Here is a 17607-nt window from a genome sequence, read left to right on the forward strand (position 1 = left end):
CAGGCCCTAGAATCTGGGGGAGTGCCTGCCAGGGTCTACTAGTCTAGAGGAACAGACTGTTCAGCCGCTGTTGTCACCCCAGCCTGGTGGCTGAAAGCAGCCTCATCTCTCCTGGACTCTTAATATATCAGGGGTGTGGGCCGTGCTCTGTGGGCCTAGTAAAAGAGTGGTGTTTGTACTGAGTGTTGTCATGGCTTGTCACACCCGAAGAAGTTGCTGGAATCATTCAATCCTTGGGGGTGAAGATGAATAATGATGGAAGGAACGGTCCCCATCAGCAGAGTCGTGTAATTTACATGGCCATTTCCTGCACACCACTTCATTACCCTTGACCCACCCAGGGAAGCAGGCAGGCAAGGGTCATGTTCGTTTCCACGGGTTCAGAGCTCCGTGACTTCCTGGGTTAGTGTGGGTGGGCCCAGGAAGCCGGTATGGGGTCCTGAGTCACACGCAGCGTGGCCGCCTTCGCGTTGCCCAATGTGGCAGCTCCCAGGGAGGACGGTCAGTGGTCCTGCTGTCAGCCTCAGCCTCCCAGGCCGGGGACTCTCTCCCCGGTGGCCTTGCCGTGCTCATAGCCCTGCCGCCCAGTCCTCTCCTCGTGTACTTTCCCTTGCACCCTAAGCCACCTTATGAAAACCAATAAAAAGTACTTAGGGCGAAAAATCCCTCTGAACATGGTTATTAAGTCCTTGGACCTTGGCAAACATAGCTCAGTTCCTGTTTTACGCCTTTGGATTTCTGCACTCCTGAATGTTATTTGATGAAATTTAAGAAAATATTAAGATAAAATCCAAATCCATTCGGATGTGGAAAGGTTGAATTTACTCATGGAATTAAGTCTTTGAATCCCGCCGTCGCTGTCCGCCCCCAGCCACATCCCAGTTTGTTATTAAGCCAGGCTCAGACTCCTCTCTCCAGGGCGGGGGTCTGTGGAGCCCTTTGCAAGAGGGTCCTCAGCACGGGCTCGGAGAAGCTCCACGGGGGTCACTCTGTCCCGATCAGAAACCGCGAGGGCAAGAGAGGGAGAGAGGAAAGAGGTAAATGACCGCAGAGCGGGCGTCTGGTTTTCCCTTGAGAAGGGTGCTTCCATGACTTTCTGTTTTAAAGAAGGCACCTAACTCAAGCTTCCCTCAGAATACACCTTGGTCACTGCTTCAGGTGAAAAAAAGATTTAAGCCATACTTCGAGGTGCCTTGACTCCTCTCCCTCTGGCACACGCCCGGGTGGGCGCCATAGCTGCTGGCCTGGGTTTGAGCAGGAGGCTTCTGACTCCTTGCATTCCCGCTGGCCGCCTTTTCCAGATGGTATCCAGAGCAATCTTTGCAAAGCGTAAATAAGGGCACTTCATGCGCTGCTCACCAACGAGGCAGGCTTCTCATCGCCCCTTCCCATCCGAGCTTTCCTGTCCTCGGGTCATCAGGCCTCTGCCTTGCACCTGGGTCTTGGCCAGAGACCCTTGAAGATTGAAGTGGCTCAGGTCCACAGAGCCACCTGCTTCCTGCCAGGTACTCTAATTCTTCTGGAGGAAATCACCACCATTTTTCGTTTCAGGATTCATACAGATTAAGTTTAACCAAACACGAACACACAATCGAAAATCTCCAAGCACACAAGAAAAAAAGCACCGTGAATGAGAGGACGGTGTGATCAGACGTGCCAATTCTGCAGCTCGATTTTAGAGATATCTGTAATTATTGGTAATTAATAGAGATTACCTTTCACCATTATTAGCAGTTGTTTTAGGGCTTATAGAATGCCTCTTTAACTTCTCCCAGCCTGTCTTTGGTTAAAATTAAGTCACTTACAGAGAGTATGAGCGTCTAACAACAGTAACTTCCACTGTTCCCTCCTCACATTTCTGCCATCGTGGCCATAACTTTTACTTCTTCAGAAGCTAGAAACCCCACATACATTGTTCTTATTTTAGATTAAGTGGTTAATTACCTTTTATAATTGTTTTAATTTTTAACTTCTAATATAGTAGAGTATATATTTATACGGTACATAAAAATTACAATTTTAATCTTCTTTTTTTTGTTTTTGTTTTGAGATGGAGTCTTGCTCTGTCACCCAGGCTGCAGTGCAGTGGCATGATCTCGGCTCACTGCAACCTCCGCCTCCCAGGTTCAAGCAATTCTCCTGTCTCAGCCTCCTGAGTAGTTGGGACTACAGGTATGTGCCACCACGCCTGGCTAATTTTTGTATCTTTAGTAGAGACAGGGTTTCATCATGGTGGCCAGACTGGTTTCAAACTCCTGACCTCAGGTGATCCACCGCCTCGGCCTCCCAAAGTGCTGGGATTATGGACATGAGCCACCGTGCCTGGCCATTAAAATTTTAATTTTTAATATAGTAGGGTTTATATCTATAGCATACATGAGATATTTTGATACAGGCATACAATGTGTAATAATCACATCAGGGTAAATGGGGTATCTGTCACCTTCAAGCATTTATCCTTTCTTTGTGTTACAAACAACCCAATTATACTCTTTTAGTTATTTTAAAACATACAATAAATTATTGTTGACTCTAGTCACCCTGTCCCCCACCCCTCTAGAACCACCATTCTCCTCTATTTCTATGTCAATTGTTTTAATTTTTGCTCCCACAAGTAAGGGAGAACATGAAAAGTTTGTCTTTCTGTGCCTGGCTTATTTCACTTAACATACTGACCAGTGCCCCCCATGCTGTTGCAACTGACAGGATCTCATTCTTTTTTATGGCTGCGTAGTACTCCATTGTGTATGTGCACCACATTTTCTTTTTCCATTCGTCTGTTGATGGACACTGAGGTTGCTTCCAAACCTTGGCTGCTATGAACAGTGCTGCAGTAAATGTGGGAGTGGAGATAGCTTGTTGATACACTGATTCCCTTTTTTGGAGTATATACCTAGCAATGGGATTGCTGTATGGTAGCTTTATTTTTAGTTTTTTGAGGAACTTTCAAACTGTTCTCCATAGTGGTAGCAATTTCCATTCCCACCAACAGTGTCCAAGGGTTTCCTTTTATCCACATCCTCACTGGCATTTGTTATTGCCTGTCTTTTGAATAAAAGCCATTTTAACTGGGGTGAGATGATCTCTCATAGTAGTTTTGATTTGCATTTCTCTGATGATCAGTGGTGTTGAGCACATTTTCAGATGCCTGTTTGCCATTTGTATGACTTATTTTGAGAAATGTCTACCCAGATCTTTTGCTTATTTTTGAAAATCAGCTTATTAGGTGTTTTTCTTATAGAGTAGTTTGAGCTCCTTATATATACTGGTTATTAATTCCTTGTTAGATGAATAGTTTGCAAATATATTCTCCCATTCTGTGGGTTGTCTCTTCTCTTTGTTGATTGTTTCCTTTGCTGGGCAGAAGCTTTTTAACTTGATATGATCCCATTTGTCTGTTTTTGCTTTGGTTGCCTGTGCCTGCAGGGAATTACTCAAGAAGTCTTTGCCCACTCCAATGTCCTGGAGAGTTTCTCCGGTGTTTTCTTTTAGTAGTTGCAAAGTTTGAGGTTTTAGATTTAAGCCTTTCATCCATTTTGATTTGCTTTTGTATATGGTGAGAGACAGAGTTCTAGTATTGTTATTTTGCATATGGATATCCAGTTCCTCCAGCACCATTTATTGAAGAGATTATCTTTTCCCCAAAGTATGTTCTTGGCACCTTTGTCAAAAATGAGTTCACTGTAGATGCATGGATTTGTTTCTGGATTCTCTATTCTGTTCCTCTGGTCCATGTCTCATCTGTTTTTATGCCAGTACCATGTAGTTTGGGTTACTATAGCTTTGTAGTATAATTTGAAGTCAGGTAATGTGATGCTTCCAGTTTTGTTCTTTTTGGTCAGGATAGCTTTGGCTATTCTGGGTCTTTTGTGGTTCTGTACAAATCTTAGAATTGTTTCTTCTATTTCTGTGAAGAACGTCATTAGTATTTTAATAGGGATTGCATTGAATTTGTAAATTGCTTTGGGTAGTATGGACATTTTAACAGTATTTATTCTTCCAATCTATGAACATGGAATATCTTTTCTTTTTTTGTGCCCTCTTCAATTTCTTTTATCAATATTTTATAGTTTTCATTGTAGAGATCTTTCACTTCTTTGGTTAATTCCTAGCTGTTTAATTTTATTTGTAGCTGCTTTTTTGGTTTCTTTTTCAGATTGTTTGCTGTTGGAATATAGAAATACTACTGATTTTTGTACATTGATTTTGTATCCTGCTGTACCAAATTTCAGCTCTAATAGTTTTTTAGTGGTGTCTTAAGTCTTTTCCAGATATAAGATCATATCATCTGCAAACAGGATAATTTGACTTCTTCCTTTCCAGTTTGGATGCCTTTTATTTCTTTCTCTTATCTGATTGCTCTAGCTAGGACTTCTAGTACTATGTTGAATCACAGTGGTGAAAGTGGGCCCTTGTCATTTTCCAGATCTTAGAGGAAAGGCTTTCAGTTTTTCCTCATAATACTACCTCGGTCTGTCATATAGGGCTTTTATTATGTTGAAATATGTTTCTTCTTCTTCCTCTTTCCCTTCCCCTTCCCCTTCCACTTCTCCTCCACCTCCTCCTTCTCCTCCTCCTCCCTTCTCCCTCCCTTCTCCCTTCTCCTTCTCCTTCTTCTTATTCAGTGGGGTCTTGTTCTGTTGTCTAGGCTGGAGTACAGTGACATGTTCATGGCTCACTGCAGCCTCGACCTCCTAGGCTTAAGTGATTCTCCCACCTCAGCCTCCAGACTAGCTGGGACTACAGGCATATGCCATCATGCCTGGCTAATTTTTTAAAAAAGTTTTTTGTAGACCAGGTCTCATTTTGTTGCCCAGGCTAGTCTCAAACTCCTGGGCCCAAGCAATCATCCCACCTTGGCCTCCCAGAGTGCTGGGATCGCAGGTGTGAGCCACTGTGCCTGGCCTGTATGTTTCTTGTATACCTGGTTTTTTGAGGGTTTTTATCATGAAGGGTGCAGAATTTTATCAAATGCTTTTTCTGCATAAAGTGAAATAATCATATAGTTTTTGTACTTCATTTTGTTGGGATGATGTATCACATTGATTGATTTGCATATGTTGAACCATCCTTCCATCCCTGGAATAAATCCCACTTGATCACAATGAATGATCTTTCGAAGGTGTTGTTTAATTTGGTTTGCTAGTGTTTTGTTGAGGATTTTTGTATCAGTATTCATCAGGGATATTGGCCTGTAGTTTTCTTTCTTTCTGTTTTTTTGTTTGTTTGTTTTTGATGTGTTTTTGTCTGGTTTTGGAATCAGGGTAATACTGGCCATGTAGAATGAGTTTGGAAGTATTCTTTCCTCTATTTTTCAGAATAGTTTGAGTAGGATTGGAATTCATTCTTCTTTAAATGATTGGTAAAATCCAGCAGGGAAGCCATTGGGTCCTGGGCTTCTCTTTGCTAGGAGACTTTTTATTATGGCTTTAATCCCATTATTGTTATTGGTCTGTTTGGGCTTTGGATTTCTTCATGGTTCAATCTTGGTAGGTTGTATGCATCTAGGAATTTATCTATTTTTTCTAGGTTTTTCAATTTATTAGTGTACAGTTGCTCATAGTAGCCTCTAGTGATCCTTTGAATTTCTGTGGTATCAGTTGTAATGTCTCTTTTTTCATCTCTGACTTTATTTATTTAGGTCTTCTTTCCTTTTTTCTTAGTCTGGGCAAAGGTTTGTCAATTTTGTTTATCTTTTCAAAAAACCAACTTTTAATTTTGTTGATCTTTTGTATTGTTATCTTTCAGTTTCATTTATTTCTGCTCTGATCTTTATTATTTCTTTTCTTTTACCAATTTTAGGTTTAGTTTGCTCTTGCTTTTCTAGTTCTTTAAGGTGCATCATTAGGTTGTATTTTTAAGTTTTTCTACTTTTTTTTTTTTCTTGAGACAGGGTTTCACTCTTGTTACCCAGGCTGGAGTCCAATGGCGCAATCCCGGCTCACCGCAACCTCCACCTCCTGGGTTCAAGCGGTTATCCTGCCTCAGCCTCCCGAGTAGCTGGGATTACAGGCATGTGCCACCATGCCCAGCTAATTTTGTATTTTTAGTAGCGACAAGGTTTCTCTGTGTTGGTCAGGCTGGTCTCGAACTCCTGACCTCAGGCGATCTGCCCGCCTTGGCCTCCCAAAGTGCTGGGATTACAGGCATGAGCCACTGCGCCTGGCTTTTCTACTTTTTTGATGTAGCTGCTTATAGCTATAAACTTCCTTCTTAGCACTGCTTTTGCTGTATACCGTGGGTTTTGAGAGGTTATGTTTCCGTTATCATTTGCTTAAATAAATTTTTCAATTTCCTTTTTAATTTCTTCATTGACTCACTGGTTATTCAGAAGTATATTGTTTAATTTTCATGTGTTTGTATAGTTTTCAAAATTCCTCTTGTTGTTGATTTCTGGTTTTGTTCCACTGTGGCCAGAGAAGATGCTTTATATTATTTCAATTTTTTTTTTTTTTTTTGAGACAGGGTCTCATTCTGTCACCAAGGCTGGTGTGTGGTGTTGCAATCATGGCTCACCGTAGCCTTGAACTCTTGGGCTCAAGTGATCCTCCCACTTCAGCCTCCTAAGTAGCTGGGACTACAGGCACACACCACTATGCCTGGCTAATTAAAAAAAAAAGTTTGTAGAGACAGGGTCTCACTATTTTGCCCAGGCTGGTCTCAAACTCCTGTACTCAAGAGATCCTCCCACCTCACCCTCCCCAAAGTGCTGTAATTACAAGCATAAGCCATCATGCCTGGCTCAATTTTTTTGAATTTTTAATGGCTTGTTCTGTGGCCTAATATATGGTCTATCCTTGAGAATGATCCATATGCTGAGGAAAAAATGCATATTCTGCAACTACTGGATGAAATGTCTTGTAAACATCAATTAGGTACATTTGTTCTATATTATAGATTAAGTCCAATTTTTTGGTTGATTTTCTGTCTGGATGATCTGTCCAATGCTAAAAGCGGGGTGAAGTCTCCAGCTATTATTGTATGGGGATCTCTCTCTCTCCTTAGTTCTAATAATATTTGCTGTATATATCTGGGTGTCCCAGTGTTGGGCGCATATAAATTCACAATTGTTATATCTTTTTGCTTTATTATTATATAATTACTTTGTCTCTTTTTGTACTTTTTGTCTTGAAATCTATTTTGTCTGATATAAGTGTAGCTAGTTCTGTTCTTTTTTTGGTTTCCATTTGCATAGAATATTTTTCCTTCCTTTTATTTTCAGTCTATGTGTCCCTTTATAGGTGAAGTATATTCTTGTAGGCAACAGATTATTGAGTCTTGTTTTTTTCGTCCATTCAGCCACTCTATGTCTTTTGATTGGAGAGTTTAGTCCATTTACACCCAGCATTATTATTGATAAGTCAGGAATTACTCCTGCTGTTTTGTTGTTTGTTTTCTGGTTGTTTCATGGTCTTCTCTTCCTTCTTTCTTTCCTTCCTGTGTTCCTTTTAGTGAAGGTAATTTCTTCTGGTGGCATGATTTAATTTATTGGTTTTTATTTTTGGTGTATCTGTTATATGTTTTTTTATTTGAGGTTACCATGAGACTTATATGTGCCATGAGATTTGGAAAGGTGCCCAGCCAAAAGTTTTTTTATATATTTATATATATATGTATATACGTATATACATTTATATATATACGTATATACGTATATACATTTATATATATACGTATATACGTATATACATGTATATACGTATATACGTATATACATGTATATACGTATATACGTATATACATGTATATACGTACGTATATACATGTATATACGTATATACGTATATACATGTATATACGTATATATGTTTATATATGTATATATTTGTATATACTTGTATATTTATATATTTATATATGTATATATATTTATATATGTATATTTATATATGTATATATTTATATATGTATATTTATATATGTATATTTATATATGTGTATATATATTTATATATGTATATGTATATTTATATATGTATATATGTATATTTATATATGTATATATTTATATATGTATATTTATATATGTATATATTTATATATGTATATTTATATATGTATTTATATATGTATATTTATATATGTATATATTTATATATGTATATTTATATATGTATTTATATATGTATATTTATATATGTATATATTTATATATGTAAATATATTATATATGTATATATATGTATATAGATTTATATATGTGTATATATGTATATATGTATATAGATTTATATATGTGTATATATATTTATATATGTATATATATGTGCATATATATTTATGTATATGTATTTTGTTTGTTTGTTTTTGAGATGGAGTTTCACTCTGTCACCAAGGCTGGAGTGCACTGGTGCAATCTTGGCTCACCACCTCTGCCTCCCAGTTCAAGCAATTCTCCTGCCTTAGCCTCCTGAGTACCTGGGATTACAGGCATGTGTCACCACACCCAGCTAATTTTTGTGTTTTTAGTACAGATGGGGTTTCGCTATATTGGCCAGGCTGGTCTCGAACTCCTGACCTTAAGCGATCCACCCACCTTGGCCTCCCAAAGTGCTGGGATTACAGGTGTGAGCCACCAAGCCTGGCCTAAAATATGTTTTGAAATATACTTTCAGTGGGTAAAAAACATTTTAATGTAGCATTTTTTTTCCTTTTGGTTTTAAAAAATGTCTTTTGTCTTGTGTTTCCTACAAGAAATCTGTATTGTTTTCGTTGTTTCTTGGCCTGTCATTAATCTCTTTTCCTCTGATACTCTTAAGATATTCTCTTTGTTGCTGGTTTTCAGCAATTTGACTGTGATATAACTTTTAATTTCTTCCTGTTTCTTGTGCTTTGTTTTGTTGAGCTTCTTGGATCTGTGGTTTTATGTTTTTCCTCATATTTGAAAAACTTTTAGACATTATTTCTTAAAGTATTTTCCCCCTGCCTCTGCTCCTACAGGGCCTCTGCTTACACATATGTAAGGCCGATGGAACTTCTGCTGAAGCTCACTGATGCCCTTTTCTTTTCGTTTCTTTATCTTTTTTTTCCTGTGTTTCACTTCATGTAGTTTCTGTTGCTGTGTGTTCAAATCCATTAATCTTTTCTTCGGCAATGCCTCATCTTCCATTGATCTAATCCAATGTATTTTTCTTCTCAGACATTACACTTTTTGTCTGTAGATGTTTGACAAGGATCTTTTGCTATCTTCCATGTCTCTGCCTTAACATCTTAATCTTTCCTCTAGCGACTTGAACACGCGGAATAAAGGTGATCAACGGGTTTAATGTCCTTTTCTACTAATTCTGTCATGTCTGTCGCTCCCCGGTAAGCTCTGGGTGGTTTTCTTCCCATTGCAGGAATTGTTTCCTTGCTTCCTCGCATGCCTGGTAATATGGATGCACGCAGTGTGCGTTTCATCTTGTTTGGTGATGTATATTTTTGTGTTCCTAAAAATATTGTTTAGTTTTTTCCTGGGAAACAGTTACATTCCTTGGAAAAACTCGATCCTTCTGAATCCTGTGCTTGGGCTCCAGTAAGTGGGACCAGGGCAGGGGTTGATCCACGAGGAAGGTTTTTTCTCCGCTACTGAGGCCAGACTCTTCTGAATACGCCAGTCAATACCTTGTGAATTGAGCTTTTCTAACTCACACGGTATTGACTGGAGTACTCCAAAGAGTCATCATGCCAAGATAATTGACGTTTGGGCTGGGCGTGGTGGCTCACGCCTGTAGTCCCATCACTTTGGGAGGCTGAGGTAGGTGGATCAGGATCACTTGAGCCCAGGAGTTTGAGACCAGCCTGGGCAACATGGTGCAACTCTGTCTCTACAAAAAATATAAAAATTAGCCACATGGGGTGGCATGTGCCTGTGGTCCCAGCTACTTGGGAGGCTGAGGTGAGAGGATCACCTGTGCCTGGGAAGGTCATAGCTGCGGTAAGCCAAGGTCGCACCCCTGTACTCCAGCCTTGGTGACAGTGAGACCCTGTCTCTGAGGCCAGGCTCTACTGAGTACTCCAGTCAATACCTGGTGAATTAGGGCTGGGGGCGGTGGCTCATGCCTGTAATCCCAGCACTTTGGGAGGCTGAGATGGGTGGATCACTTGAGGCCAAGAGTTTGAGACCAGCCTGGTCAACATGGTGAAACCCTGTCTCTACTAAAAATACAAAAATTAGCCAGGCATGGTAGCATGCACCTGTACTCCCAGCTACTCAGGAGGTTGAGGCAGGAGAATTGCTTGAACCCGGGAGGAAGACATTGCAGTGAGTCAAGATCGCGCCACTGCACTCCAGCCTTAGCAATAGAGTAAGACCTTGTCTCAAAAACAAACGAACAAAAACAAAAACAAAACAAAACAAATAACAACAAAAAAACCTGGTGAATTAGAAGCTTTTCTGCTCTGGCTAATTAGAACCGGCACTATTGCTGTGGGAACACCATTCCTTCCAATCCTATTGGGTTGTTCTTATTTGGACCTTTTCCTGTAATCCAGTCCTTTTTCTGACACACATGCCGACCAGCCATCAGCCACATATCCTGAAGCCCAGTTTCCACACAGTTCACTCCTCCAGTGCTTTCTCAGACCTCAGCCACCTTGGCCTCCCTGGTCTCCAGCTCCATCTCCTCGCCCCAGGGAGACGACCAGGTCCAGCCTCAGGTGGGCACCATTGCCCGGACAGTCTTCCCAGGTAAGCGATTGTAGGCTTGCCGCATTTGGCTCCTGCCTTTTGAGGTTCACCTTCTTTCCTTGGCTGAGCTTCAGGATCTTTAGGGCTGTGATTTCATACATTTTGTCTAGTCTATTGTTGGTTGTGTTGTCATGTCAAATGGGAGGACGAATCCCGTTCCTGTTGCTTCATTTTGTCCAGAAGTGAAAGTTCCTAGAACAAGGCTAAAGATTAATGAGCTCATTAACCAGCTCTAAAGGTATGAAATGAAATATGAAAATAGACCAATGAATGTACAAAGAAACAAGTAATGGATCTGAGCAGAAATTAGTGAAGGAGAAAACAAAATATCAACAATCAGCAAAGCTAAACATTTAACATTTACTCTTCTAAGAAAAACTAATAATAATGAAAATGACAAAAACAGGTCATTCCAGAAAAATAAAGATACAAGTAACTATGTAAGTGATGCAGGACACGCAAGCCCCAAAGTGGGGCTTAGCAGGTGAGGGTTCTTGGCTTCACTCAAGGATGAGCCAGTGGTAGTGTTACCAGTGGAGGTTGTCCAGGTTCTTGGTGTTTTGAACTAAGAATTGGACAAAATCCACAAAGCAATGAAAAAAAAAAGCACAGATTTATTAAAACAAAAGTACACTCCACAGAGTGGGAGTGGGCTCAAGCAAGTGGCCCAAGAGCCCAGGTACAGAATCTTGGGGGTTTAAATACCCTCTAGAGGTTTCCCATTGGTTACTTGGTGTATGCCCTATGTAAATGAAGTAGTGACCCACAGTTGGTTGGCTTGGTTGTGGGAAGCGAACAATCAGAGGCTGAATTGAAGTTACAGCATTATATTCCCATACAAATGAAGACTTGGCCCACGACCAGTCTGATTGGTTGCAGGAGGGGACTCATCAGAGGTACTTTCAATTTTTCATCTGCCACTCAGAAAAAAGGGGGAGGTATTGCAAAGGGAATAGCTTCTGGTTCTTTGGTAACTTGGGCATGGAAAGTTGGGGTTTTCCTTTTGATTTCGTTCTAGGAAGTCAGCGTGAATCAGCCTTAGGTTCCCTGCCTCCAGACCCTATTCTCCTGCCTCAGTAGGGTGGAAGGAAACAGCTGTATGGAAGCAGCAGGGTTACAGGTCAGGCAGTGTGACAGCCCCAGGACTGCTCCCGTGGGGCAGGGCTCCCCACAGGCGGCGCGCTGAGGGCAGGGCTCCCGAAGTCAATGCGTCCAGGGCAGGGCTCCCCACAGGTGTTGTGACAGCCCCGGGGCTGCTCCTGCCAGGCAGGGCTCCTCATAGGTGGTGTGCTGAGAGCAGCAGCTCAGGGCAGGTCTGCAGTCAGGTTTGTACCCACTTTTAATTACATGTAGACTAAGGGGCGGTTTATGCAGAAATTTCTAGGGAAGGGGTAGTAACCGTTGTGTAGTGGGGTCATTGCCATGGAAGTGGGTGGTAACGCCTGGGGGTTGCCACGGCAATGGTAAACACTGGTGGGTGTGTCTCATGGAAAGCCGCTTCCGCCCTGGCTGTGTTTCAGCTAGTCCTCAATTGGGTCTGGGGTCCAAGTCCCACCTCTGATCTCATAAGAAGTTGTTACGGATTGTACTGTGTCCTCCCCAAAATCTACGTGTTAAAGTCCTAACCCCCAGAACTTCAGAATGTGCCCTTATTTGGAAATAGAATATTTGCACGTGTGATTAGTTAAGATGGGGTCATTAGGGTGGCCCTAAGCCAGTGACTGGTGTCCTTATAAGAAGGAGAAATCTGGACACAGAGACAGACGGGCATCAAGGGAAGATGATGTGAGGACACAGGGAGAAGACGGCCATGTACAAGCCAAGGAGAGGCTGACACAGAGCATCCCTCGCAGCCTCAGAGGGAGCCAGTCCTGCCCACACCTGATCTGGGACCGTGGCCTCCAGAACTGAGTTGGCCAATGTCTGCTATTGAAGCTGCCAGCCACAGTGCTTTGTTGTGGCCGCCCCCACAAGCTCACACAGGGGTGGAGAAGCAGACGTTGCCACAGGTGTCACGTAAATCAAGACAGTGCTATGCCAATGTCATGCCAAGGCAGTTGATATTTGGGCCAGGCGCAGTGGTGCACACCTGTAGTCCTAGCACTTTGGGAGGCCGAGGTGGGTGGTGGATTGCTTGAGCCCAGGAGTTTGAGATTAGCCTAAGCAACATGGCAAGACCCCATTGCTACAAAAAAATACAAAAATTGGCTGGGCATGGTGGCTCAGGCCTGTAATCCCAGCAATTTGGGGAGCTGAGGTGGACAGATCAATTGAGGTCAGGAGTTCAAGACCACCCTGGCCAATATGGTGAAACCGCCTCTACTAAAAATACAAAAATTAGCCAGGTGTGCCTGTAGTCCCAGCTACTCAGGAGGCTGAGGTGGGAGGATCGCCTGTGCCCAGGGAGGTTGAGACTGCAGTGAGCTGAGATTGCACCACTGCACTCCAGCCTGGACAACAGAGTTAGACCTTGTCTTGAAAAAAAAAAAAAAGACAGTTGTCATTTTAGGTCAAACGGACAAATTCTTTAAACAAAATATAATAAAACATCAAGGGGAAATAGAAAATCTGCATGGTATTATTATCACAGAAGTTACAAAAATTAAAACAGTAGTGAAAAAAATATCCCACAAAGGAAACCGCAGACTTAGGCGGTTTCATCAGTTGCATCCACAAATGCCTTAGGGGATGATTTTAGACAACAGACAGGAGGAAATGGTCTCAGCCTCACCGTCCGTGGCCACGGCAGCTTCAGTGAGCCAGCCCTGCACAATCAGCTCTGCAAGGTGTGATTGGAGGGAACAGGAAACAGAAAACACAAAGAGAAGCCACCCAGAGGGTTGGTGAGGATACAAAGGGTTTTCAACGCCGCTAGTCAGCAGGGAAATGCACATTTAAACCGCGAAAAGGCTCCACTACACACCCACCAGAGTGGCTAAAATTAGACAGCAGCATTGTGTGCTGGAGAAGGGGTGATGCCATGGGGCTCACATGCCACAGTGCACAGCCAGAGTGGCACAGACCCCTTAGAACACGGGTGACATGTACTGGAGCTCAGCACACATGCACCACAACAGCCATGTCCCCCCTGGGTCTGTGCCCAAAGGCAGGCACAGCCACGTGCATGATTTGATCCGTAACGGCCCCGGTTCGTGCCATGGAATGCCACATGGAAGAAAGTCACAATGAGCACCGCTTGCGACAACACAGATGGACGCCAGACAGAGCCCAGCCCGAGAACCTGGGTACCAGAGCTCCCAGCATGACTGTTCATGTGTGGGACTTGGACCCGGTGACCCATGGGCTGGGTTCACCCGCCTGGTTTCCACTGAGAGGGCCCCGTGGGGCCGGGGTCTGTCTGTAGCCTGACTCGGGTGCTTGGTGCTGGAGTCTGGAAGCATGCAGGGCTTGTTGAGCTGCACGGGGTGCATCTGCCATGACACTGTGTGGAAATTGTATAGCAACAAGTTTTTTAAAAGTGCCTGCCGGCCTGGTGCAGCAACTCATGCCTGTAATCCCAGCACGTTGGGAGGCCAAGGCGGGCAGATCACGTGAGGTCAGGAGTTCAATACCAGCCTGGCAACATAGTGAAACCCCATCTCTACTAAAAATACAAAAATGAGCCGGGCGTGGTGGCAGATGTCTGTAACCCCAGCTACTCGAGAGGCTGAGGCAGGAGAATCGCTTGAACCCGGGTGGCAGAGGTTGCAGTGCCAGCCTGGGTGACAGAACGAGACTCCGTCTCAAAAAAAAAAAAAAAAAAAAAGTGTCTGCCTCTCAGTGCACCAGCTGAGTCCAGCCAGCAGGACAGAAGCCACTGGGACATCACACTGAAGGTTCAACAAGGGAAATGGCAGGATGAGGGGGAGGTGGGCATGTCCCCCCAGACATCCCGGTTCAGCCCCAGAACCGCGGATGTGATCCCACGTGCCAGAGTGGACTCGGTGGCCACCATCACACTTGGATCTTGGATGGGAGATGATGCTGGGTAATCGTCTGGGACTGATGTAACCACAGAGGGTCGGGGTGAGAATCAGGGATATGACCACGGAGGCAAAGGTTAGGGTGAGGCGAAGAAGGCCACAAGCCCGGGAATGCAAGGAGCACAGCTCTCGAGGTGGAGAGCACGAGGAACGGAGCACCTGGAGCCCCTGGAGGGCAGGGCCTGCCCACACCCCAGTGGCCGCGCAGGGAGGTCTGGTCTGGACTCCTGGCCTCCAGAACCATCAGAGAACAAATATGCTGCTTGAAGCATGAAAGCTGTGGGGATGGTGGCCGTGGCTGGGGGACACTCAGGCGGTGGCTTTTCTGGGACCAGTGTCTCTGCAGAGGCTGCTGCTCTGAAAGCATGGTGGGCCACAGGGCGCCACACCCCCTTGGGTCCTGTGCCTGCTTCAGGAAAGGGGTAAGCAGTGTGGTATACGCCAAGACCTCCTCCTGGTTTCCCTCCTCCGCATGGATCACTCCTCGAACACAGCCCCTGCTTCGTCAGGGTTCCGTAGCCTCACCTATCGCAGGCTGCACCCCATCCTTCCTCCAGACCCCTGGCCTGTGGGGCTTACCGGGGCCGAGGCCAACAGACTGATCTCGTTGCCAAAGACCCAACAGCCACCAAACTGGCTTCAACAGGGCTATGTGTGGCAGGTACTTCACAGGGGGACGTGTTCTCATTTTCCTTGGCTTTCTAATAAACTCTGGTCTAAAGAAAATCTCTTCTATAAAATGAGTGGCCAGTGCCAAGGGGTAGAGACAGAAGCTCCTTCTGGACACTGGCTGCTCCAGTAGAGCCCATCCTGCCCAGGTACGGAGCCCACCAGCTGCGATCAGGACACTGCAGTTCCACCGTGGGGGACCCCGGGCCCTCACCTTGTCAGTCCTCTGTTTCAGCTTCGAGGGCTTTGACACAGTCTAAAATCCACAGGTACTTAGCGCATTTCTAAGTCCCACCTCATGATCAATCATAAGACAGGGCTTTGATGGTATGCAGAAATATCAATGAAATCCAAGAGGAAAACAGAACTAAACTCATCGGGATGAATGACAGATAAACCCTTTAAGCATGTTTCAAGTCGCCCAGGTGGAGCCTCTGTTGGTCAGTGAAGCTTCAGGGTTCCCATGAGATGGATCTGCATGAGGCTCAGTCCTCTCTTGAAACACTGCCCATTTGCAGGAGCGCCGGCCCACAGGGCAGAAGTCAGACTGTCAGAGCAAGTGCCGGTCCTGAAGCTGGAAGGACTTTCAAGGCTCATTCCCCAAACTCATTTTTTTTTAAACCTCTGCTCATCTTAAAGAAAGGAGAGGCAGGCGCCCCAGAAACCTCTCAGGAGTAACTGACACACGTGACTTGCGGTGTCTTCAAAGGAACACTCTGCAACTTGCTACTGTTTAAACAGAGCAAGACTAACAGTCACCAGCAGCTGGTTCACGCATTAAGGCCCTTTGCAGGTGAAAGAAAACGGCACTGGAGGGCCGACTGCAGAAGCAGACGCAGTGCACGGTGGACATCTGCCCCTTTTGGGGGCCTGCCACGGTGCTTCCTGAAAACTCAGGTTAAGCTGACTCTGCTGTCAGGCTGATGAGGCGCCTGCACCCACCTTTGCTCAGCACGCCAGCCCAAATGGAAGAGCAGGTGCTATGACAAAAATCAGTTCTTGTAGCAACTATTTTTGATACTGAAACTGAAAAGCGAGAGCAGCAAAGCTATCCACGGAGCTCCTGACAGTTAGGCCCGGCTTTGGCTGCTGATGCAGGGGCCGAATGACGCTATTTCTGCAGCAGCCGGCCGCAGGCGCTGACCCACCGCGGGATGTGCCCCAGGAGGCAGAAGAAACGCTGGGAACCGCACCTAACCTTGCCAGCATCCCCCAGGCAAAGCCAGGCACTTTGAGTTCATCGGTGGAGTTGGGCGATACTCCTTTCCCGTTTGTGTGCTTAGCTGCTGCCAACAGGATGTGCTGGGTGAAGCCTTACAGAACACAGCCAGTTGTGTTTTATAAAGCAAGGCTCCCCTCCCCCAAAGACAAATAAAACCACAGGTGTGGAAGGGACACCCTCCACCGCACCCCGCCCTAGTAATCTGACACCGCAGGCAAAGGCACGGCCTGTGTGGGTAAGATCCATTGTAAACGTTTAAAACTTCCTGTTCCCTGATGCCTCAACTTCCCCGCAGACCGACGCACCTGTGATGGGCAGGGCCGTGTGACCTCGTGACCTTCACATACACCAATGAAGACCCTCACGCCTTCTGCTGTCTTTCCCCCACTGCTGACTTGCCTGCGGGCCCCCACTATCTGCCCTGCCTCTGGAGCCGCCTCCCGTGTGCCCCCCCAGGCCCCTTAAGGTGCTGTGCGTCCCATCTGGAACCGGCAGTTCACCCGCTCTCCCAGCCACCCTTCCAGACCCCACTTACAACACACGACTAAGTAACACAGTACAGGCCGTGTATTCGTATTTGTTTTCCTGTGCCAACTCATCTGGTATCTTCGTATTTTAATGAATAAAACTGAAAGATGACAACTTGAAGCCCCAGTGCATTCCTCTCAAATCGAGTGAAGTTTACAACACCTTAATTATAAAAGATTTATCTGATCCAGAAGAAAGCAGAGTGTACAGAAACTTCACTGTCATCTGCGAATGGACTGAGAGCATCTGGATTTGGTTCTCAGCCTGAATGAGCATCCTGGAATGGTGTGTCTCGTCCATTTACGTGGAGACACATGGAACAGGCCTGCAGGCTTGGGGCTCTGAGCAGGGCTCCCAAAGCCCCTCAGCTGCAAGGAAGCCAGGCCCATGAGAGGGGAGCCTGTTCCAGAAACACAAGAGGATGAAAGCTGTTATTGGCAAAGGAGACTTAGAGCAAGGAAATGACCAGGAATAAAAAAAGATTATATATTTAGAGGCCAGGTGTGGTGGCTCATGCCTGTACTCCCAGCACTTCA

General features: G+C 44.7%; 1 non-coding gene across 1 annotated transcript, besides 3 other annotated features; it reads right to left on the reverse strand.

The window, feature by feature from the left end:
- MIR4457 (microRNA 4457) lies at window positions 9585–9652 on the reverse strand. Its single transcript, NR_039662.1, has one exon. It is a non-coding gene; the product is annotated as a microRNA 4457 (primary transcript).
- Window positions 13303–13372: an enhancer, noted in NCBI's record as "active region_22305". NCBI's record gives its function as "activates an Ori minimal core promoter by ATAC-STARR-seq in GM12878 lymphoblastoid cells {active_cell/tissue: GM12878}" and the evidence as "EXISTENCE:reporter gene assay evidence [ECO:0000049][PMID:35858748]".
- Window positions 16191–16580: an enhancer, noted in NCBI's record as "active region_22306". NCBI's record gives its function as "activates an Ori minimal core promoter by ATAC-STARR-seq in GM12878 lymphoblastoid cells {active_cell/tissue: GM12878}" and the evidence as "EXISTENCE:reporter gene assay evidence [ECO:0000049][PMID:35858748]".
- Window positions 16871–17020: an enhancer, noted in NCBI's record as "active region_22307". NCBI's record gives its function as "activates an Ori minimal core promoter by ATAC-STARR-seq in GM12878 lymphoblastoid cells {active_cell/tissue: GM12878}" and the evidence as "EXISTENCE:reporter gene assay evidence [ECO:0000049][PMID:35858748]".

Source organism: Homo sapiens, chromosome 5 (assembly GCF_000001405.40).
Source record: "Homo sapiens chromosome 5, GRCh38.p14 Primary Assembly".
In the NCBI taxonomy this organism is placed as follows: domain Eukaryota; kingdom Metazoa; phylum Chordata; class Mammalia; order Primates; family Hominidae; genus Homo; species Homo sapiens.